Here is a 19,813-nt window from a genome sequence, read left to right as displayed (position 1 = left end):
TTTGTGTGTACCTTTATTTAGAAAGTAATCCTTAATAACTTGTTTTTCAAAGGTCAGGGTTTAATTCAGTCATTTTGTGTTTAAGGACTACTAGAGTCTGAGAAACAACGGCAACTGCTAATTTATAAGGCTGTACTTAAAGGTAAATCTAAAATCAAAAAAGCTTTGATGTCTTGGCCTGACCAAAGCATGTTAGCATTTTATAACTGGCTAACAAAGGAGGACTTTTCCCACAAGTGGTGAGTATGTCCTGCAGTTTCCTTCAGCATAAAGGAGTGTATCTTTTCAAAAAAGTTTGGCTTTTTCTTCACTGTGGAGAAAGTCACACTCCACATTCATGGTAGATGACATTATGAAGTGTGTGCCCCAAACACTTAGTAGAAAACTGTGAGAGACAGTTTATTTTAGCAGAAAACTGTGAGAGACAGTTGGTGGCTGAGCCCAGGTCAGGAGCCAAGGTTTGCCCAAGCTGGCCCAAAAGCCAGCACAGGAGAGTGAAGGCCTCTGCAAAGGGGTGGAGAGCAGGGAAGTCCAGCAGAGGAGAGCACGTGGAGGCACAGCCCACCCAGATCCCAAGCCTTGTGCAGGGCTCCCCTGGCTGGAGTAGCCCCTGTCCCTAGGGTCAGTCCCATCTGTGAGATGTGTCCTGGGCCCTCCCTTTGCTGGCGGGGCACAGCAGGGCTCCCTGTCAGCATTCCTCTTTAAGGCCCTGGTTCCAGGGATGGCTTGTGAGGCCAGGCTCAGCCAGTGTTTGGGGTTTGGCCTTGTCTCCTCCTCTGGCTGGGGCTCATACCCCAGCCACAGTTGCATAGACTTAGGAGTCTCTGGGCCCCTTTCTCTGCAAGGACTAGAAAGTGCTGACTAGCCAAGACCTTCTGAATCCCTGCCCGGGTAGCCCAGGGATCCTGGAGAAATGGGGTGTGGGGCAGGTCCTGCAGGTGTGGGGAGGAAGGGGAGAGAGCCGGGCTAGAGCCGACTGACTGCAAGTGAGGGGCAGGCCCTCAGAGAGGAGACTTCCCTGCGGAGCCCACTCTGCTGGTTTCTGTGTGCTTCATTTGGCTCTTTGCTTCTGCAGATAACCTAGACCCACTGACGCTGCGACCTAACACTCCGCTTCCTATGCTGCCCTGTCTCTCTCTTCTTTCTGCACCTTCCCCCTCCCTCTCTCTCTCCCTCTCTCTCTCATTTCTTCTCTCTTTCATCTCACCTCTCTCTCTGTCCTCACCACTCCCATTCCCCTCCCCCTCTTCCTGTTTACCCTCCAGGACCATTTTCTCTTTATTGTTTTATGATTCTCTTGTCGTCTTCCTGTCAGTGTTTCTTTCCTTTCTGTCTCCCATGCCCGTCGCCTGCAGAAAGTGATCTTTCCGAGACAGGACGATGTGCTCATCTCCTTCCTGCCTCTGGCTCACATGTTTGAGAGAGTAATCCAGGTAAGACACCCACCTGACTGACCGGGCCTTGCCTGGGCTCCTTCTTTTTTCTTACAGAGTCAGTGGGCTCCCACTTGTGCGGATGTGCACATTTCCTATTTGCCTTTAGCACACATGTTTGAGCGAATGGTGCAGGTAAGGCCCTGGCATCAGGGAGGCACACTCTGTGCCTAGAACCCATAACCCTAGCGGGTGTCACTTGTCACTGGTGGCATGAAGTAGGACCAAACTGCCCTGTCCTCAGAAGGTACCATAGGGGTCAGAGGGCTCAGAGGACTTTAGCCACCCCACTTGTCCCTCCTGGGAGCATTGTTCCAGGGAAGCCCCCAGGCCTGCCCTGTCTTACCCATGGACACACTCAGCTGAGAGAGACCCCAGCTGATAGCATCTTCTCAGAGAGTATTGCAGCTTTGCAGAAGTGCTTTACCATTCAAGCTCTGTGCAGTACAGCTCCGTTTATGACCAAAACACTTATGTTCCATAACTTTTATAATTCACAAACTCCTAAAAGAGAAAACAAAAGAGTAAAGTTGGGGAATGAAACTGGCATGGCTCTTCAGGCTGCAGATGGGGACTGGCCTGAGGCTGGCCCTGAGACAGGCCTTGTGGAAGTACAGAGGGAGTGGGAGGAGGAATCCATATGTGATTATGGAGACAAGGAATTCTCCATATATGTGTCACTCAAGGGACCAGCATATGAAAAAACTGTGTCTTCTAGGCCTTTCCCATTTTGCCTTGGGGGAGGTCTTATGTAATAGTGCAGGTAAGGCCGTGGCATCTGGAGAGCATGCTTTCCAGCTTTCCAGACCTGGATTCAATGCCAGCAATTACTGTAAATTAGTTTTGTGACCCTGGGCAAGTCATGTAACCTCTCTGAGCTTTGTGTTCCTTACCTGTAGAAATGCCACTTCCCTTATAGGGTTGCTATGAGCATTAAAGAAAGGAGCATATATAAGGCCCCTGGTGTACTCCTAGTCCCATTAGGAACCAGCCAGGGGCTCCCCCTTGGCCTCGCACTAAACAGCACCCACAGCCAACTTCAGCAGCATCTCCAGTACTCATGGGGCTTACACACCTTCACCTTCCCAGAATTCCCTGGGGAAATCCAACAACTCTAAGACCTGGAGCAGACCCATTAGTAGGCTGTAGTACATCTCAAAGGCCTGAGTCCCCAGGGAGGCCCATGTCCAGGGTTTGGGAGTAGGTGAGGGGGGCACACGCCAGTGAGAATGGCTGCTTTGGCATCTCCCAGAGGCTCAGGATTCCACTCCATCTTCTGCTTCATCTCCCTGTGCCTGAGTGGGACTTGGTTGGAAGGTGAGGGGGTGGGGGTCACCTCAGATGGCATTCATCAGTGTCTCATGGCAGCAGCCAGAGCTGGGTCAGGGGGTCATGGGTGCCCTCCATGTAGGGCAGCACTTTGGACAGCTTTGGACTATCGCCAGTAGTGACCACCCTAAGGGACTCCTCCCTTCCTGTCCTGTCTTTCTAGTCTGTCGTCTATTGCCACGGAGGGCGTGTTGGCTTCTTCCAGGGAGATATCCGCCTTCTCTCAGATGACATGAAGGCTCTATGCCCCACCATCTTCCCTGTGGTCCCACGACTGCTGAACCGGATGTACGACAAGGTAAGTTCTGCAGGGAGTCTTCAGCCAGGCTGAGGGGCTGCATATTTGCTTGTTTGGACAGGGTCTGGAGCCCCAGGCAGGCTTTCAGTGCCTCCACTGCCAAGTCCTGGAACTTGCCTCCTCTCTTGTAGTTCCTGACTCTTTCTCATTCTTCCTTCTCCTGTTTTCTTCCTATTCTCCAAATACCCCTGCGGGAGAGATTTTTTTTCAGGAACTTCCATCTTCACAGCATGCCTGGACCCTGGCAGTGTTAACCTTCAGCTCAATGTCACACATTCAGTGACCTCCTGCAGGGGCAAAATGGAACATGGCTTCTCTGCTGGCCAGTCTGGGCCTTATTCCTGGGGGATATATCTAGAAATGAGACATTCAGGCTCTGACAGCTGCTTCCAACTTATGTTCCTCAGATCTTCAGCCAGGCAAACACACCATTAAAGCGCTGGCTCCTGGAGTTTGCAGCAAAGCGTAAGCAAGCCGAGGTCCGGAGTGGAATCATCAGGAATGATAGTATCTGGGATGAACTCTTCTTTAATAAGATTCAGGTAAGAAAATGAACAAGTGATTATAGAGTGACACCTAAGTATCCAACGGGTGACCTTGCAGGAGAACTGGAGAAGTTCATCCCAGTGCCCTGTAATCATGTGAAATAGTAACTCATTTGCTCATGAAATCAAAGCTTAAGCTATGATTGAAATTTTAAACTTAGACATTTTTGATTTTTGGAGATACGTTACATTTGAGATGAGCAAGAAGAAAACCTACTATGGATAGTAGGTCCCTTGATCTCCACAGGCAACAGTGTGGCTTTGACCTTGGGTAGTCAGGTCAGTGCTCCACTGAGAAGCTCCTGGGCCCTGAAGTTCTCTTGCCCCTCCCTGTAATCCTGGCCATGGTGGCTTTCCAGCAGCATGGGTCTAGCCAAATGGTTCAAAATCTTCTTTTTCTTTTCTGTGTTCTGTCCCTTTAGTATCTCCCACACCAGGCCAATCTTGAATTACTCATTTCTGTACCTCCTCAAAAGTTTTTAAACTCTGCATTATCCAAGGAATCTGTAGTCAATTAGTAGCATTATTCATTTTTTTCTTGCTACTCTATTTTTAGTTATGAAAATTAATATTTAAAATATCTTGGCTCAACTTACATAAACAAAGTGTTTCAAGTATTCTTCGTCCTCAGCAGTACATAGTAAATAAAGCATGGTATTGATTTATACATGAAAAAAGGCAATGCCATTAAAATGGAAATTGGAAGAAATTGTCCTAAGTAATTGTTTTGGATTCTTGTCAATGATGGGAGAGTGACGGAACAGCTGTGTATTTTAAGGAAGGGAGAAGAACCAATATTATAGAATGCCACCCAGACTGATGGTACTTATCTCAAAAGGCATAAAAGAATTGGTCATATGGTGGATTGAGCTGCAGAGCTGATTGTGTTTATCATTAGGAAGGGGAAGGAGTTTCCTCAGCTCGTGTGTTGTACAACCTCAGGCCTTCTTTCTGATCCCAGCCCTAGCATCCAGGTAGGACCCAGTTGTTGGATGTTGACCTTGGATGAAACCCAGATGGACTGGACACCATCTCAGACATCACAAAATTTGGCAGCTCTTCTTTCTTCCCACAGGCCAGTCTTGGTGGGTGTGTGCGGATGATTGTTACTGGAGCAGCCCCAGCATCACCAACAGTTCTGGGATTTCTCCGGGCAGCTCTAGGGTGCCAGGTATTGTCATTGTGTGTCCTCCCTTGGAAACAGCAGGAAGTTCGTTAGGGCAGGAAAACTACTATACCCTCTACTGCTCAGAGAAAGAACCGGGGGACAAGATTTTTGTGAGACAAAAGCTCCCTCCTCTGAGGAGGAAAAAACTCAGAGCCAGTGAAAGCCAGGATGGCATTGCCACATTCTGGAAAGCCCAGGTTTATCCACTCTGGGAAATTCTTTTATCTGGACCTTTGGAAGTTTTTCACAAAGGGCAAAGGGATCAGACAAACCATAGACAGATCATCAATGTGCGGTAGAATCTGTACCATACCTGTACTGCATCTCTACCTTCTTCAGCCTGCAAAATATCTTGCAACCCAGAAAAGGAGAACAAGGGAGAAAGCCCATTTATGTGTTATTTGATCTATTATGTTTTGTCATCTCTAAAAGTTTATTTCTTCATTTTCCATTCAGCTCATATTTATTAAGTTTCTGCATATGAAGGGTATCATAACGTGGTTGTGGCTGATGGATTTGAAGTAAAGTAGACCCATCTTTTTCATAATTGTGCGTGCTTAAATTTTTCTGCTTTAGAAGCCTTGATCTTTATTCACTGTACTCCTATTCCACATCAGCATGGCCTAACCACTTCTAAAGGCAGACACTCCTGCATGGTGTATTCATGCAAACAGGTGGGGCTCTGGAGGGGAATAGCTTATGGAGCCAAAATAAAACACAGAGTAGATTTTAAAATGTTTATCTTTAATTCATTATTATCCAGATGAAAAGTAGATTCAGTGGTTGAAAATAGGTCAGAAATCTTTACCCTAAACTATATAACCTTATCTACTAAGTGTCTGTGATAAAAATAGCACTTCTCACGCCTATAATCCCAGCACTTTGGGAGGCCGAGGTGGGTGGATCACGAGGTCAGGAGATCAAGACCATCCTGGCTAACACGATGAAACCCCGTCTCTACTAATAATACAAAAAATTAGCCACGTGTGGTGGCACATGTCTGTAGTCCCAGCTACTCGGGAGGCTGAGGCGGGAGAATGGCGTGAACCCAGGAGGTGGAGCTTGCAGTGAGTGGAGATCACGCCATTGCACTCCAGCCTGGGCGACAGAGTGAGACTCCGTCTCAAAAAAAAAAAAAAAATAGCACTTCTTCCAAGCAAATGTGGCCATGCTTGTTGTCTGTGTTCAGTTTCACCTGGAGTTATCTACCTCCAGAGCACCTCCCTCCCTCCATCGCCCTGATCATGAAGCAGTCAGACACGCTCAGTGGGAGGTTAGCTGTCTGGAAGGGGTGGCCAGTTAGCTCTTGGAGGGTGTGTGCCCATAGTGTGGCTTCTGTGTTTTGTTTGAAGGTTTATGAAGGTTATGGCCAAACTGAGTGCACAGCTGGATGTACCTTCACCACTCCTGGCGACTGGACCTCAGGTAGGATGGGCTAGAGATATAGGACTGGCTCGCGAGGCACTGTGGAGTAAAAGCAGCCAGCTCTAAAACTCCCTCATGGAAAGTAAATTTGCATGGGTACTTAGGAATAAAGCAAAAGAGACAGAAAAAAACATTAATGGTGGTTATGTCTGGGTTGTGGCATTGTGAATCTGTAAACACTGTTGAGGTTTTTCCCTTTTTTATTCATCCTTAACACACTGGAAGAATCTGGTCTAAATTTGGTGAGTAATCCATGGGCTACCCACTACAGCCCTGCTTTCCCTTGGCCCTGAAGGATGAATCTCCTCAGAATGAGGGTGTGGATGAGAGCTGTTCCTTTTTGAGGTTGCCGCTGCCTTTGAGACATTGATATCACAGGAGAACGTAGTTCTCAAAGGGCCTCTAAAATGGCCCTTTAAGAAACAGTACCCTGGCCCCTATGAACCTGCCTCTCCTTTACACGTCAGGTCCAATTCATAGCCTGCTTCCTTCATTCTAAAATACTATAAGCAAGGCCATGTAGTATCTAGAATCTATAAAAATCCAATATACTGATATTATAAACATTTTTCCATCTGGAGTTGTATCTTGTGATCTATTACTTCTTTTGTGCATAACTTCTATTTAGCTATAAAAGAAATAGGAAAATACTAAAACCTGTGACAAAAAAAAAACACAATAATCTCCAAAGGTGGTTCCTGTGGGAGATCTGCCAGCAGCAAATTGATTAAATAACTTATTTACAAAATAGGTTTTATTCAACTATAATTTTAAAAGACAGGACTAAGGAAAAAATGCTTCTATACTTAGCTTGGCCAAATATGATTTCAGTTTAAAATCCACCTATCCTGTTTCTGCTGACTATCTCAAGGTACTCTGAAAATAATATTGCATTAAACAGCATATTTCTTTCACATGCACATCATCCTAAAATTTTCCAGTTTGTAGCTGAGCAAACTTAAGTACAAAGAGTGGCCCCAGGCTTGGAAAGGAAGTCAGTATCCTGAAGGATTCTTTTGCTGAGTGGTTTTCAGCAAAAGGGGAAACAGGTCTGTAGTAGGCAGCCCATGGATTACCCATCAGATGTAGAGCAGATTCTTCCAGTATCTACCCTCATGTATCCCTTCCTTTTGGACATGTATCTCTTCCCTCTCAAGTCATCCTTTACATTTTCCTATGTAAACACTGCTGAGGTTTTTCCCTTTTTCAGTTCACTCTTAGCATAAAACTTGAAAAGGCTTTTGTGTATAAGGATTGATATCTTTGAATAGTATTGCCAAAAATTTGACAGCCTCTCTTTTAAAAGAGAAACCAAGGTGGTAAGCCTCATTTTTCATATACGCGGCTCAATTTTCTTTCAGGACCTTGGCTAGCATCTGCTTAAAACTCCTCCAACTTGCCAGTGAATTATCTAACAACCACAATCACTAGAAAAATGACTTAGATGTAATTTTGTGGTAAATTTGACCAAGAGAATTTGGAGTCTTATTTTCATGGGGCAAGTTTCTTCATCCCAGCTTTCCATTCCTTTGTTATTCAACATGTGGTGTGGGACCAGCAGCAGCATCGCCTTGGTGCCTGTAAGAAATGTCGAATCTCAGGCCCCATTCCAAACCCAGTGAATCAGAATCCACAGCTTATGATTTCTAGATTTCCAGCATAGTAATCAACAGTCTGGTGGCTAGAGGAAAAGCAATGATTGCTATATTTTATGATCCCCAAACCAAGACGTGTGATCTGACAATGGGGAAAATGATTTAATGTGGCCACCATTTTCAAAAATCTTGACCCTGTGTTTGATGCCCCCCATCCTACCCTACCCAGGACCCTGTGCACGTTGGTGCTGGGCCAGGTGTGCCTGTCCTGCTTATTAAGAATCGGATGTAAAACAAATGCCCAGGCAGAGATTGGCCTTTGCTTTCTCCAGCACTTTGTTTTATTACCAACACTTGCAGTAACAAATGCCCCTTTAAAGATGTGTTACTTTCCATCCATAATTCCCCACTTTGGCCACTCAGAGATTTTAAGGGGCTTGGAACATCTTCAGTGCTAAAACAGATCTGAACACTAACAAATGCCATCTTGCTCCGGTGTTCCAGGGCACGTAGGGGCGCCACTTCCCTGCAATCATATCAAGCTCGTTGATGTTGAGGAACTGAACTACTGGGCCTGCAAAGGAGAGGGAGAGGTAAACAAGGATTTAGCCATTCATGCCTGTGGCTGCTACATGTAGTGAGTAAAAACAAGAACAGTAGGGATGGAATGATTTTCCTTTTGCCTTGTGTATAAAGTCATTTTAAACTACTGATTAATTTGACTCAGCTCAACTCAGCATCTCCTCTCCTGTTTATGAGGCAACCAAGAGCTAGTGCTGGGACTGAGCTGGTTTAAATAAAGATTTGGAATTCCCAGATTTTTAAATTAATTAATTATTATTATTATTATTATTATTATTATTAATTTGAGACGGAGTCTCGCTCTGTCTCCCAGGCTGGAGTACAGTAGTGTGATCTCTGCTCACTGCAACCTCCGCCTCCCAGGTTCACACCATTCTCCTGCCTCAGCCTCCCAAGTAGCTGGGACTACAGGTGCCCGCCACCACACCTGGCTAATTTTTTTTGTATTTTTAGTAGAGACGGGGTTTCACCGTGTTAGACAGGATGGTCTTAATCTCCTGACTTCGTGATCCGCCCACCTCGGCCTCCCAAAGTGCTGGGATTACAGGCGTGAGCCACCGTGCCTGGCCCTTAATTAATTAAATTTTTAATAGAGTCAAGGCCTTGCTCTGCCACCCAGGCTGGAGTGCAGTGGCGTGATTATAGTCCACTGAACTCGAGACCATAGCCTCGAACTCCTGGGCTCAAGCAATTCTCCTGCTTCAGCCTCTCAAGTAGCTAGGACCACAGGCATGTGTCACCTTGCCAAGATAACTTTTTATTTTTTTTTTAGAGATTGGGTCTTGCTGTGTTGCCCAGGCTGATCTTAAACTCCTGGCCTCAAGCAATCCTTCCTGCCTCGGCTTCCCAAAGCACTGGGATTACAGGTGCTAGCCATCATGCCCAGCCCCAAATTTTGTAAAAATTCATTTTTTCCCCTAACTGTGTCATGGCCTGCTGCTGTGTGATCTGTCCCAGCAGAAACATGATCCTTTACAAATAGGCCAGATGGAGTAGATAGAGCTGGCCTGTACTTGTTCATTCCATGGGAGTAAGTGGGAATGATTGCCTGCTAATGGAGCAGGGGGCTGAAGCATCCCTGGTAGAATCAGCCAGCCATCAATATCTGTGATGAGTCCCCATCAAGTGTCACAGAGCAGCATGTGGCCAAGGCCAGAGGGCTCCTGAGGGAGAAGAGATGACAAAGGCCTAGGGTGGCCAGGGCAGGGGGGAAAGATGGGGAGGATGTTGCTTGACAGAAGGCAGGAGACAGTTCAGATGGCTGCTGGCTGTTCCTTGTCCTCTGTTTCCATCCCTGCCATATCCACAGTGGCTTTCCTGATGGGTAGTGCACCTTATCTCCGTATGCCTGGTGACAGCTTCCCATCTCCTGATTCCTCATGATGTGGCTGAGAGAAGCCATGGTTTTTGTCCCATAGATATGTGTGAGAGGACCAAATGTGTTCAAAGGCTACTTGAAAGATCCAGACAGGACGAAGGAGGCCCTGGACAGCGATGGCTGGCTTCACACTGGAGACATCGGAAAATGGCTGCCGGTGTGTATGTTTGGAACCACGGAGCTCCAAACATTTGGCAGTGGGAGGGTGTGTGGTCCGGGTCACTGAGGCAGGAGTCTTCTCCAAATCCCCCCTGACAATGAGTCATTCAGGAGCACCTCTGGGGCCTGGGGGGAGGCTCTTCCTTCCCTGAGCCCCAGAGCATCTTCCTCTTCTCACTCCGTCTCATGAAGGTGATGAGGGACCTGTGCAGGTGGGTGTGGCTGAGGTCTTGGAGACTGAATTCCTATCCTTAATGGTTTCCAGAAAGACATCTGACAGTGTGTGGAATCTGATGTGAAGTAGGAGGAACAGGGGGTACATGTCTCTAGGACGTCTGAGAAGGGCAAGGCCTGCAAGCCCTCCAATGCTGGCCCGCAGCCAAAAGGTGGCACTGAGTGAAGGGGAAAGCTTGGAGACAGGAGGGAGAATGCCTTAGTTCCTGTGGCTTTGCCAGCAGTTGCTCATGTAACCTTGAGCAGAGCCTCATCCCCGTCTGTGGCTTCACCTTGACTCACTTATAGAACAGGAGAACAAGCCTTCATAGCATTCCTTGCCCATGGCCCCCAGCTTTTAGCCAAAACCACTTTGCCTCATTCTCTCATTTTTAAAATAGGGATCACAGTGTTGCTTACCTCTGAAATTATTGTTGTGTTGTGCAAGATCTGGACTTTATCCTTTATTATTTATTTATGAAATGGAGTCTCGTTCTGTCACCCAGACTGGAGTGCAGTGACGAGATCTTGACTCACTGCAACCTCCACCTCCCAGGTTCAAGCGATTCTCCTGCCTCAGGCTCCCCAGCAGCTGGGACTACAGGTGCCCGCCATCCCATCTGGCTAACTTTTTTGTATTTTTAATAGAAACAGGGTTTCAACACATTGGCCAGGCTGATCTCAAACCCCTGACCTCAACTGATCTGCTCATCTCGGCTTCCCAAAGTGCTGGGATTACAGGCATGAGCCACTGCACTCAGCCTGGATTTTATCTTTTAAAAATGTTTTAATAAAAGAAAGAAAAATAAAGTTATTTTTGTGAGGAACAAATGAGATTATGCCTACAAAGCACTTAGCACAGTACCGGGCACATAGGAGATGCTTAGATGAATGCTTTGACCAGAAAACGGCTGTCACTGACACTGAGCACTCTTGCCTGGAGCAGCCCACCCCAGGAAACTCTCCTGTGTCTTTGGGAAGTGCTAAGGTTTGGGTGGACATTTTGAGGTGTTGAGTTAATGAGGCACGTGAATGATGTTGAGCCCAAGGCAGGCTGAGTGGGCTGGTAAATGGATCTGCCCCTGCTTGGGCCTGTGTACTTCCCTTTGAGAAACCCTCATGCCTGCCCCAGACAAAGATGTATCTCCAGTGAGTGCCCTGGCCCAGGGACTCTGCTTAGGGGAGATATGCATGATTAGACAGTTCCCAACCCAATGTGATGGGCATGAGCTGGGGGCACACTGGGGGCACACTCACCTCGGGAGAGGCAGAGGAGGACAGGCACCTACTGCATCCAAGCCTTAGGATATGAGTCATGTTCCAAAGGTGGGATTGGGAAGGACAATCAGGGCGTGATAGTAATATATGCTGAGTAGAGGCACTAGACATGGGAAGCAACTAATTCCAACTGAAGACCCATAGGTGTGGGAGAGAGAGGCTAGAGAGGTCAGCAGGTCCTGAACATCTGCAGAAGGTGGATTGTCCTGTTGGCTCAGGGAGCTTAGGCTTCAAGCCCCCTCACTTGCATCAGCCCCTTCCAAGGCCCTGCACTTCATTTTACCTGGTTTTTCTTAGAAAGGGCCCTCAATATTGTAAAAGCTTGAAGTCTCACAAATCCCTGGATCTGCTGCTGATGCCCTGTAACTTGAATGAAACCATTCACCATTTAGGGGGTAATATGAAGCAAATAAATGAATTCATGTAAAGCACTTAGTGTTGTGCTTGAGCACAGGGCCTAAAGTTGCAGGCAGGTAGTCTGTGAGAGTCCATTTTTTAAATTATTATTTTTAAATGATTTTTGAAATTTAATTAAAATTTATTGCAGCTATTGAGATACTTATTATTCTATATTTCTCATGTAAAGCAAATCATGCATTCTTGACATAATTCAACTTAATCATGATGTGACTTTTTAAATAATATTTTTCCTAAAAATTGTGTTTGACCTTTCCATTTATATTCACAAATGAGATTGATCTGTAATTTTCCTTTTATATACAACCCTATTATGGTTTTGTTGTCAGCTTATTGAATGAGTTGGTAAGTGGGTTTTTTCCCCATTTTTTTGGAAGAGTATGTTCAAGCTTTGAATGATTCATTCTTGAAATTTAGGTAGAAATCATCTATAAAGACATTTGTGCTTTTAAAAACGTTATTTTGAAATCATGTTAAATAGATCAAGGAATAAGCATAGTCTTCTGGTCCAGAAGGATCGGGATTCAAATCCTGGTTCCCCAACTTCTAGCTGTGTGGCTTTGGAGGAGTTAACTAAGCTTTCTGATCCTCATTTTCCTCATCTGTGAAACAGAGGTGACAACACCCAGCTAATGGACCATGAGGACCAAATAAGCTGGGGTAGGGAAAGTGCCTGATGTCTAGCCTGGGTTTTGAGCAAAACAGAGTCTGCTCATTTTTCTCTTTTGGAGAGATTGCTCTGGCACTGGCAGATCAAGCAGATGGAGTGGAGACAGAGTGTGTGCAGAAGTCCAGTCAGAAAGTGGTTTTGCTGGGAGGAGGTGGTGGATATGAGATGGATTTGTGAGCAAGGACAGGTGAGCCTGACCACTGGAGATCCCAGGAGAGGCAAACAACAAGGTCATCTCCAGGTTTGGGGTTTGGAGGCTGGGGCAGGCTTGAGAAGCTTGGTCGTGAGTTTCATATAGGAGCATGTTACATCCTCTGAGACAAATAGCCTAGTTTTTGAAGCATTCCAAGGGTATTTGGGTTCTGGATCTGGAGCTCAGTGAAGAGCTGGAAGCTTGAACTGACTTGGGAGTGACCAATGAAGAGAAAACGGTGGTTACTCCAAGGTGCATTGTCAGTGGCGGTGAGGGGAAAGAGGCCCACGTAATCACCTTGGAAGCTCAGAAAGGTCAAGGAGAGTCAGGGAGGTGAGGACGGGTCCTGGAGGCCAGTGGCATCAGCACTCCCTGTCCAAGGAGGTGATCTGCCTGCTGCAGAAGTCCTACAGGGGCCTGGGCTCCTAGTGCCATCTGGCATGTCAGGTAGGAGTCACAGGGGCTCTGTCAGGTCTGTGCTATATGCCAGGGGATGCAGAGGCTGCTCTTTAGGGGTGGAGACAGTAGCTGGGCAAGAGACTTGAGTGTGGTCTAAGGGAGTGAACCAAAGATGCTGGTGAGAAAAAGGGCACCTGGAACAAGGGTGTGTGCAAGAGGGGTGCCCTGATGGAAGGGCGGTGGGCCTCCAAGAAGGAGGAGGTGAGGATACCTGCTGCTAGGCATGAGGGTGGCAGTGGTGGGAGGACTGTGTGGGGGGCTAACTGCTGAGGGGAAAGGACAGTGGATGCTCACGGCCCAGCAGAACTTGGATGCCATCAACCTGCGGTGTACAGTGGTTCTCTCCAGGAGCCCTGCAGCTCCCTAAGAGCAGACACAACAGATGGAAAAGAAATCGGGGTGGGGTCTGCAGGGTGGGGTAGGGCAGGGAGTTACGGCACTGAGGAGCAAAGGTTCAGGCTTGAGAGTGCCATGTTCTTATAAAGCTGTTTGTCCAACTCTACAGGCAGGAACTCTTAAAATTATTGATCGGAAAAAGCATATATTTAAACTTGCTCAGGGAGAATATGTTGCACCCGAGAAGATTGAGAACATCTACATCCGGAGCCAACCTGTGGCGCAAATCTATGTCCATGGGGACAGCTTAAAGGTGAGGCCTCTAGGCTTCAGCCCTCCCACATATCCTGGGCATGCTGAAAAACCCAGATTAAACATTAACCTCCAATCAGGCACCAGGATTCTCCTCCGCATTTTAAAACATGAGAGAAAACTCCTTTTTAAAGGAGAAATCTTACTTATAGTTTGTTAAAATGTAATTAGGTCAAGTAAATTGTCTGAAGTAGTACTAATGAACATTCCCATTCCTTTTCACTTATGCTCTACTTACTTCCAAGGATTTTTGAGATAAAATACTAGAGCAAGATTCAGGGTTTCTACTGTTTTTATTTTTATTTTAAAAATTATTATTACTATTATTATTATTGAGACAGGGTCTCGCTCTTTCACCCAGGCTGGAGTACAGTGGCACAATCATGGCTCACTGCAGCCTCAATCTCCCTCCTGGGCTCTAGCCATCTTCCCACCTCATCCCCTTCCCCCTCCCTCCCCATCCCCAATAGCTGGGACTACAGGTGCACACCACCATGCCCAGCTATTTTTTTTTTAATTTTTAGTAGAGACAAGGTCTTACTATGTTGCCCAGGCTAGTCTCGAACTCCTGAGCTCGAGTGATTCTCCTCCTGCCTCAGCCTCCCAGAGTGCTGGGATTAGAGGCATGAGCCATCACACCTGGCCTGTTTTGATTTTTTTAATATGCAAATGAACTTTACAAATTAATGAGTACTGCAAAAAAATGTACTAATGGTACTAATACTAATATAGGTTACTAGGATTCAGTTATTTGGAGGAGTTTTATACTTATTTTCCTTTCAATACTATTTAGATTTAAAGTCAGAAAGATCATGAGTATATTCTATGATATCTAAGATATCAAATATATTCACTCTGTCACCCAGGCTGGAGTGCAGTGGCACAATCTCGGCTCACTGCAGCCTCTACCCCCAGGGTTCAAGTGATTCCCTTGCCTCAGACTCCCGAGTAGCTGGGACTACAGGCGCCCACCACCACACCTGGATATATTTTTTTTTTATTTTTAGTAGAGACAGGGTTTCACCACATTGGCCAGGCTGGTCTTGAACTCCTGACCTCAAGTGTTGTGCCTGCCTCAGCCTCCCAAAGTGCTGGGATTACAGGCATAAGCCACCATGCCCTGCCTGATATCAAATATATTCTGTACTATCATTGCATTTCTATAAATATTATGAAATTATTTTCAAAGAAATGCTTTAAAAATCAAAATAGGCCTGGCATGGTGGTTCACGCCTGTAATCCCAACACTTTGGGAGACCGAGGCAGGAGGATCACTTGAGCCCAGAAGTTCAAGACCAGCCTGGGCAACATGGTTAAACCCTATCTCTACAAAAAATACAAAAATTAGCTACATGTGGTGGCATGCACCTGTAGTCCCAGCTACTCGGGAGGTTGAGATGGGAGGATCACTTGGGCTCAGGAGGTCGAGGCTGCAGTGAGCCATGATTATACCACTGAACTCCTGCCTAGGCAACAGAGTGAAACCTTGTCTCAAAAGAAAAAAATAAACAAAATGAAGTCTTTCATGAATGAAGATCGTATTAATGAAACCATTTCAACGTGGTTTGGTAATCCTGGGAAACATTTTGGTTCAGAGAATTTGGATCAGAGAGTTGTTTGCTCAGCCTCCTGAAGATGTGCTGATTTGAGATTGGCATGAGAATCAAAGGTGCATATCAGTCTAACTTTACTGATTCTTAATGTCCTTATTTTTTCATATAAAACTAGGGGAATATATCAGAAAATGAATGGTATGATATATTGGCAGAAAGATTTCATGACATCAACAAATGTTTTATAAACATATACTTAGTTTTTGAAAAAGGTGGAGTCTGAGAATTTTAATGCTGGACCACAAATAACCACTTTAAATGCATTTGTCATGACTGTGTTCTCCTTTGGTGAGCACTGCAGGCCTTTTTGGTAGGCATTGTTGTGCCTGACCCTGAAGTTATGCCCTCCTGGGCCCAGAAGAGAGGAATTGAAGGAACATATGCAGATCTCTGCACAAATAAGGTTGGTATCTTGGGGCTGTCTCCTGAAAGGTTACTGAATGTTTTATGGTACCACATAATGAGAAGACAGAAAAGTTGTAGACCAGTGAAATTCGAGCTCGTACGAAATTTCTAACATTACTTTATATATAGTGGGGATTCTAAACCAGAGATTTGTCTTTTTGTTACTGAAGAAACTCATATTTCTTCTTAGAAAGATTGACAAACGTTTGGATTTTAAGCCAGGAGACATCACAGAAAGCTTATCCAGCCCTGTTGCTTTGTGGCTTAGAGGAGAGTCCAGGGAGGGGGGTAACTTGCCCGAGGTCACACAGCTGGTTAGCAGCAGAGTCAGATGTGAGCATAGGCTTTCTGACTCACCTGCCATGCTCCTTCAGATGTAAGGTGGATTTTGTGTCTGCTGGGTGTAGACAGCTAGTCATGGAATAGAAAAAGTAGCACAATTCTTTCTGCTTAGAGCATTAGCTACTCACACCTTCCTGAAACCTTCTAATGGCACATCTAGAACTCTGTGGAGGAGGTCGCCATGCTGTGACTCAGTGTAGCCCCTTGAGTCACATGGTCCATTTCTTAGTAGTAGCCATAGACCCTCCCTCTCCTACGGGACCCTGGGCCCTGGGCTCATCTAGGGGTAGCAAGACTCACCAGGCTGACCAAAAGCCTGCTTTAAAAAAAAATTGAGTGGTCCCTTAGCCCATTCATGGTCACTCCTTTGGCCATTTCAGGTACTTACTTGCCAGATGAGAGGTGGTAATTGGAGTGTTGCCAGGGAGTATCAGCCTCAGTTGCGGGCTGTGGGTTAGCACATGTTGGCACAATCATCAGTTGTACTTTACCCAAAAGTGTTGTTTCCTCTACCTCCATTTTGAAATGTGTTCTTGTCTTGTAATTTTTCTCATATGGTTTGATTCAGGATCTGAAGAAAGCCATTTTGGAAGATATGGTGAGGTTAGGAAAAGAAAGTGGACTCCATTCTTTTGAGCAGGTAACTGTTACCTTCCCCATACTCGTTACAACCCTTCAGGCAGTGATGAAAATTAAATTAACCCATGGTGACCCTGACCTAGATTCCTGACTTTTCATGGTGTGGCCCGCCAGCAGGCTGTGTACCAATGGACCCCTGAAGGCCTGTTCCAAGCTGCCTCCTGAACCAAAATAGGTCACATATCAAAAGAGATTGCACCCATCCTTATAATTACAAACTTTCATAAGGCTGAAATAATACCCTAGCTGTCACTAGTAAATCATGTGTACATGATCTGTCTTCCAAGCTTCCTGCATTACCGAAGACGACAGTCCTATCTTATTTTTATTTTTGTGGGGACCGTCTTCTTGGCTTCAGCAGACAAGTTTACTTGTTAGGAGGACACTGGAAAGATTGGTCTTCTCGGGCCAGTGATCTGTCAGCCCAGCATGCCCTCTGTAAAGAGGAGGAAACAGAATGCTTTGGGAGAGGACACAGCAGTCCTCCAAGACTTTTTTTTTTTTCTGCAAGGTTGGGTTCTTACTGTAATTGAGCTCATAAGCATACTTACTCTGACTTACATATACCATTTATACATCCCCTTTTGTCAAAAATTCAAAGAGAAAAATGCTTCAAATGGAAAAATATTAATATACTGATTTTTAAAATTTCCTTATATTTAAAATAATTGTTTTTCATAAGATAAACATTTCATTAAAATAATTGTTTTTCATACAAGTTTGTTACCCCAAATTTAGTGACAGGGGTCTTCAAGTTTGACAAGAATCTTTAAATTTTGTATATTCGCTTAATAACCTAAAAACATTTAAAACCAGTTTAAAATATAAAACTCTTACAGTGCTTTAATTTGCAATTAAAAAAACATTTTCATGGATTAAAATTTTTATTTTTTAGTTTCAAACTATGGAAATCTAAGCATAGTTTCAGGGTCTAAAAATACTGTTTTTCTTTAAAAATAGATCTTTACATTAATCCATTTTGAGAAACACTGCTTTACCCTCAACTGTCAGTATGTTTTAGGGCAATTTAGGCCTGGGTAAATAAATATTTTTTAAAAGTATGGAATCTGAGGCATTCAGGCAAGTTACATTTATCTTTCTAAAAGACAAAGGTCAATTTTGGCATATGAACTGACTTCATTGCCCTTCCTCAGTGGGGAGTTGTGTGATGGGATCCTCTGTGATCATGTAGACCAGAGACCACAAATGAGTGGTCGTAGGCCTGGCTGGTCTGGGCCTACGTGGATTTGAAGGGCTGGCTGCAGCCTAAGCTGCAGTTCCTGCGGACATCCTGGTGCATTCACAAGGCCTTCACGCCTCCTGCTTGTGTTTGGATGCGGGACCTGTCCCAGGGCACACAGAGTATCATGACACCCAGATTCCTCTTCATGGAAAAAAATACCAACTCTTAAGATTATGCTTAAAAGAGACCTTTAGTTAAGTTTCCAGTGTTAACCATTGCTCTGGTTAGAGCTTTCACTGAGAGGAGACGAGTTCTTGACTTTCCACATGCCTTTCGCAGAGTTTCTGCTCTAATAATCTGCCCTCACCATGGTAACCTCAAATACAGAGAAGTCATGTGGGATCTCAGAGGCCTTTAGTTTTATTGCCAAGGCTGTCGCCTTTTGATTTTCTCTGTTCTCATTCTCCTCTTTGTTGGTCTATGACATCCTCCCTACCATAGCCAGTGTGTGCCCTCAGCTGACCACAGGAAAGCAAAAACCAGGCCTCATGCCTGAGGAGGGTGTGCTCTCAGTTGTGATCCAAAGCTCAACATAAATTATTTCAGTTAATCCATAATCCATTGTCAGCTTGTCCTTTTCCCTCTTCCTCAAAAATAATGGCCAATTAAGGCATAACTCTAATTAAACACACACATACACACAGAAATAACGAATTCAAGTTCTATATCCAAAGTTTAAGTCATTCAACAAAAGCTTTAGGAGTTCAGACTTACTGGACTTGGTTGATCTGAATTAAACCTTGAATTAGAAAAACAAATGATGTAATTTAATTTCCAAGAACAGACAATTCCTAGAACTAGGCCAACCATTATTAATTTATGGAGATCTTTGGAAGATATATTTTAATGAGTAGATAGGTGGCTGGGCAGTATTTGAGCATACTTAACCATGATTTAACCATTTGTTTGACATTTATATGCCTTATTAATTTGCATAGGCAATACAATGTGAACTTTGACACTTGATAGATTTTTCAATTTCTGACTAATTAAGCACTTACTAAAAATATTTTATTGTATTTCCTGTCATTGAAATGAACACTTACCTAACCAATTTGCCTTTAAATAAGAAAATGAGCATTTCCCTAACTCATGTAATTGTTTTTTTTTAACTTTATCTCTCCTGTTCTAAATTATTCACTCTGTGTTTATTATCTACAAGCAATATTGTGTTAAAGGATTTCATTAAGACCACTGAAAAACTTAAAATACTATGTCTCTAAAATTATGAAGTTTGTGCTTTTATGAGTTGGCATAAATGGACAATTTTGAGGAATTTTATTCCAATGCCATATTTAAATGTTACAGTATTTCTGAATTATTTTTAAAAATCCTGTAGCATCTCTTTTCAGTGAAAAGAGTATGGTTTCAGGAAGGGAAGCTAACATTAGGCATCTCCCTTTTTCTTTTCCCAACAAAAACTTTGCTTATTAAAAAATGGAAATTCCAGTTTCATGAAGTGTGTGGCATAAAGAGAGAATAAGGACTCTCATACCTTTTTTTAAAAAGTTCACAATTGGACAGTTTGGCTTTATGAGAAAATAATTATTATAAAAAATGAACATGTGTTTTTATCATTGATTCACTTCTAAAAAAAACTATAGGTTTGTGGCCCGTAGTTAAAGTCAGTGTCAGTTAAACAACTGGCTGACTCATTTTTTTCCACTTACTGCCTATATTTTTTAGTCACTCAAGCAGGTTGTATAGGTATTTTCATAGAAGCATTTAAATAGTCCAAGGGCTGTAGGTCAGACCAGACCAGGGACTGGCAGCCTAGCAGC

At 44.5% G+C, this 19,813-nt stretch overlaps 1 protein-coding gene across 25 annotated transcripts in view, besides 1 other annotated feature; it reads left to right on the top strand.

The window, feature by feature from the left end:
* The window catches only part of ACSL6 (acyl-CoA synthetase long chain family member 6), a 62,241-nt gene that overhangs the window by 35,888 nt on the left and 6,540 nt on the right, over window positions 1–19,813 (top strand). For 10 of the 25 annotated variants that reach the window (NM_001405478.1, NM_001205248.2, NM_001405475.1 and 7 more), the window contains 10 exons: window positions 1,491–1,568; window positions 2,926–3,060; window positions 3,468–3,602; window positions 4,681–4,776; window positions 6,126–6,198; window positions 8,298–8,386; window positions 9,794–9,910; window positions 13,648–13,791; window positions 15,705–15,806; window positions 16,719–16,790. In NM_001405478.1, the coding sequence (NP_001392407.1) occupies window positions 1,491–1,568; window positions 2,926–3,060; window positions 3,468–3,602; window positions 4,681–4,776; window positions 6,126–6,198; window positions 8,298–8,386; window positions 9,794–9,910; window positions 13,648–13,791; window positions 15,705–15,806; window positions 16,719–16,790 (1,041 nt within the window). Of the gene's footprint in view, window positions 1–1,075; window positions 1,434–1,490; window positions 1,569–2,925; window positions 3,061–3,467; window positions 3,603–4,680; window positions 4,777–6,125; window positions 6,199–8,297; window positions 8,387–9,793; window positions 9,911–13,647; window positions 13,792–15,704; window positions 15,807–16,718; window positions 16,791–19,813 lie in introns of all 25 variants that reach the window. The other 15 variants (NM_001405488.1, NM_001405479.1, NM_001205250.1 and 12 more) reach the window with 5 other exon arrangements.
* Window positions 18,386–18,586: a silencer, noted in NCBI's record as "fragment chr5:131293433-131293633 (GRCh37/hg19 assembly coordinates)". NCBI's record gives its function as "represses an EF-1alpha promoter that drives an FKBP-Casp9 reporter gene in an ReSE screen in phorbol 12-myristate 13-acetate-treated (for megakaryocytic differentiation) K562 erythroleukemia cells {active_cell/tissue: K562(+PMA)}" and the evidence as "EXISTENCE:reporter gene assay evidence [ECO:0000049][PMID:32094911]".

This window comes from Homo sapiens, chromosome 5 (assembly GCF_000001405.40).
Source record: "Homo sapiens chromosome 5, GRCh38.p14 Primary Assembly".
Classification (NCBI taxonomy): Eukaryota; Metazoa; Chordata; class Mammalia; order Primates; family Hominidae; genus Homo; species Homo sapiens.
The sequence above is the reverse complement of the archived record's forward strand: the minus strand, read 5'-3'. Positions and strand labels throughout refer to the sequence as shown.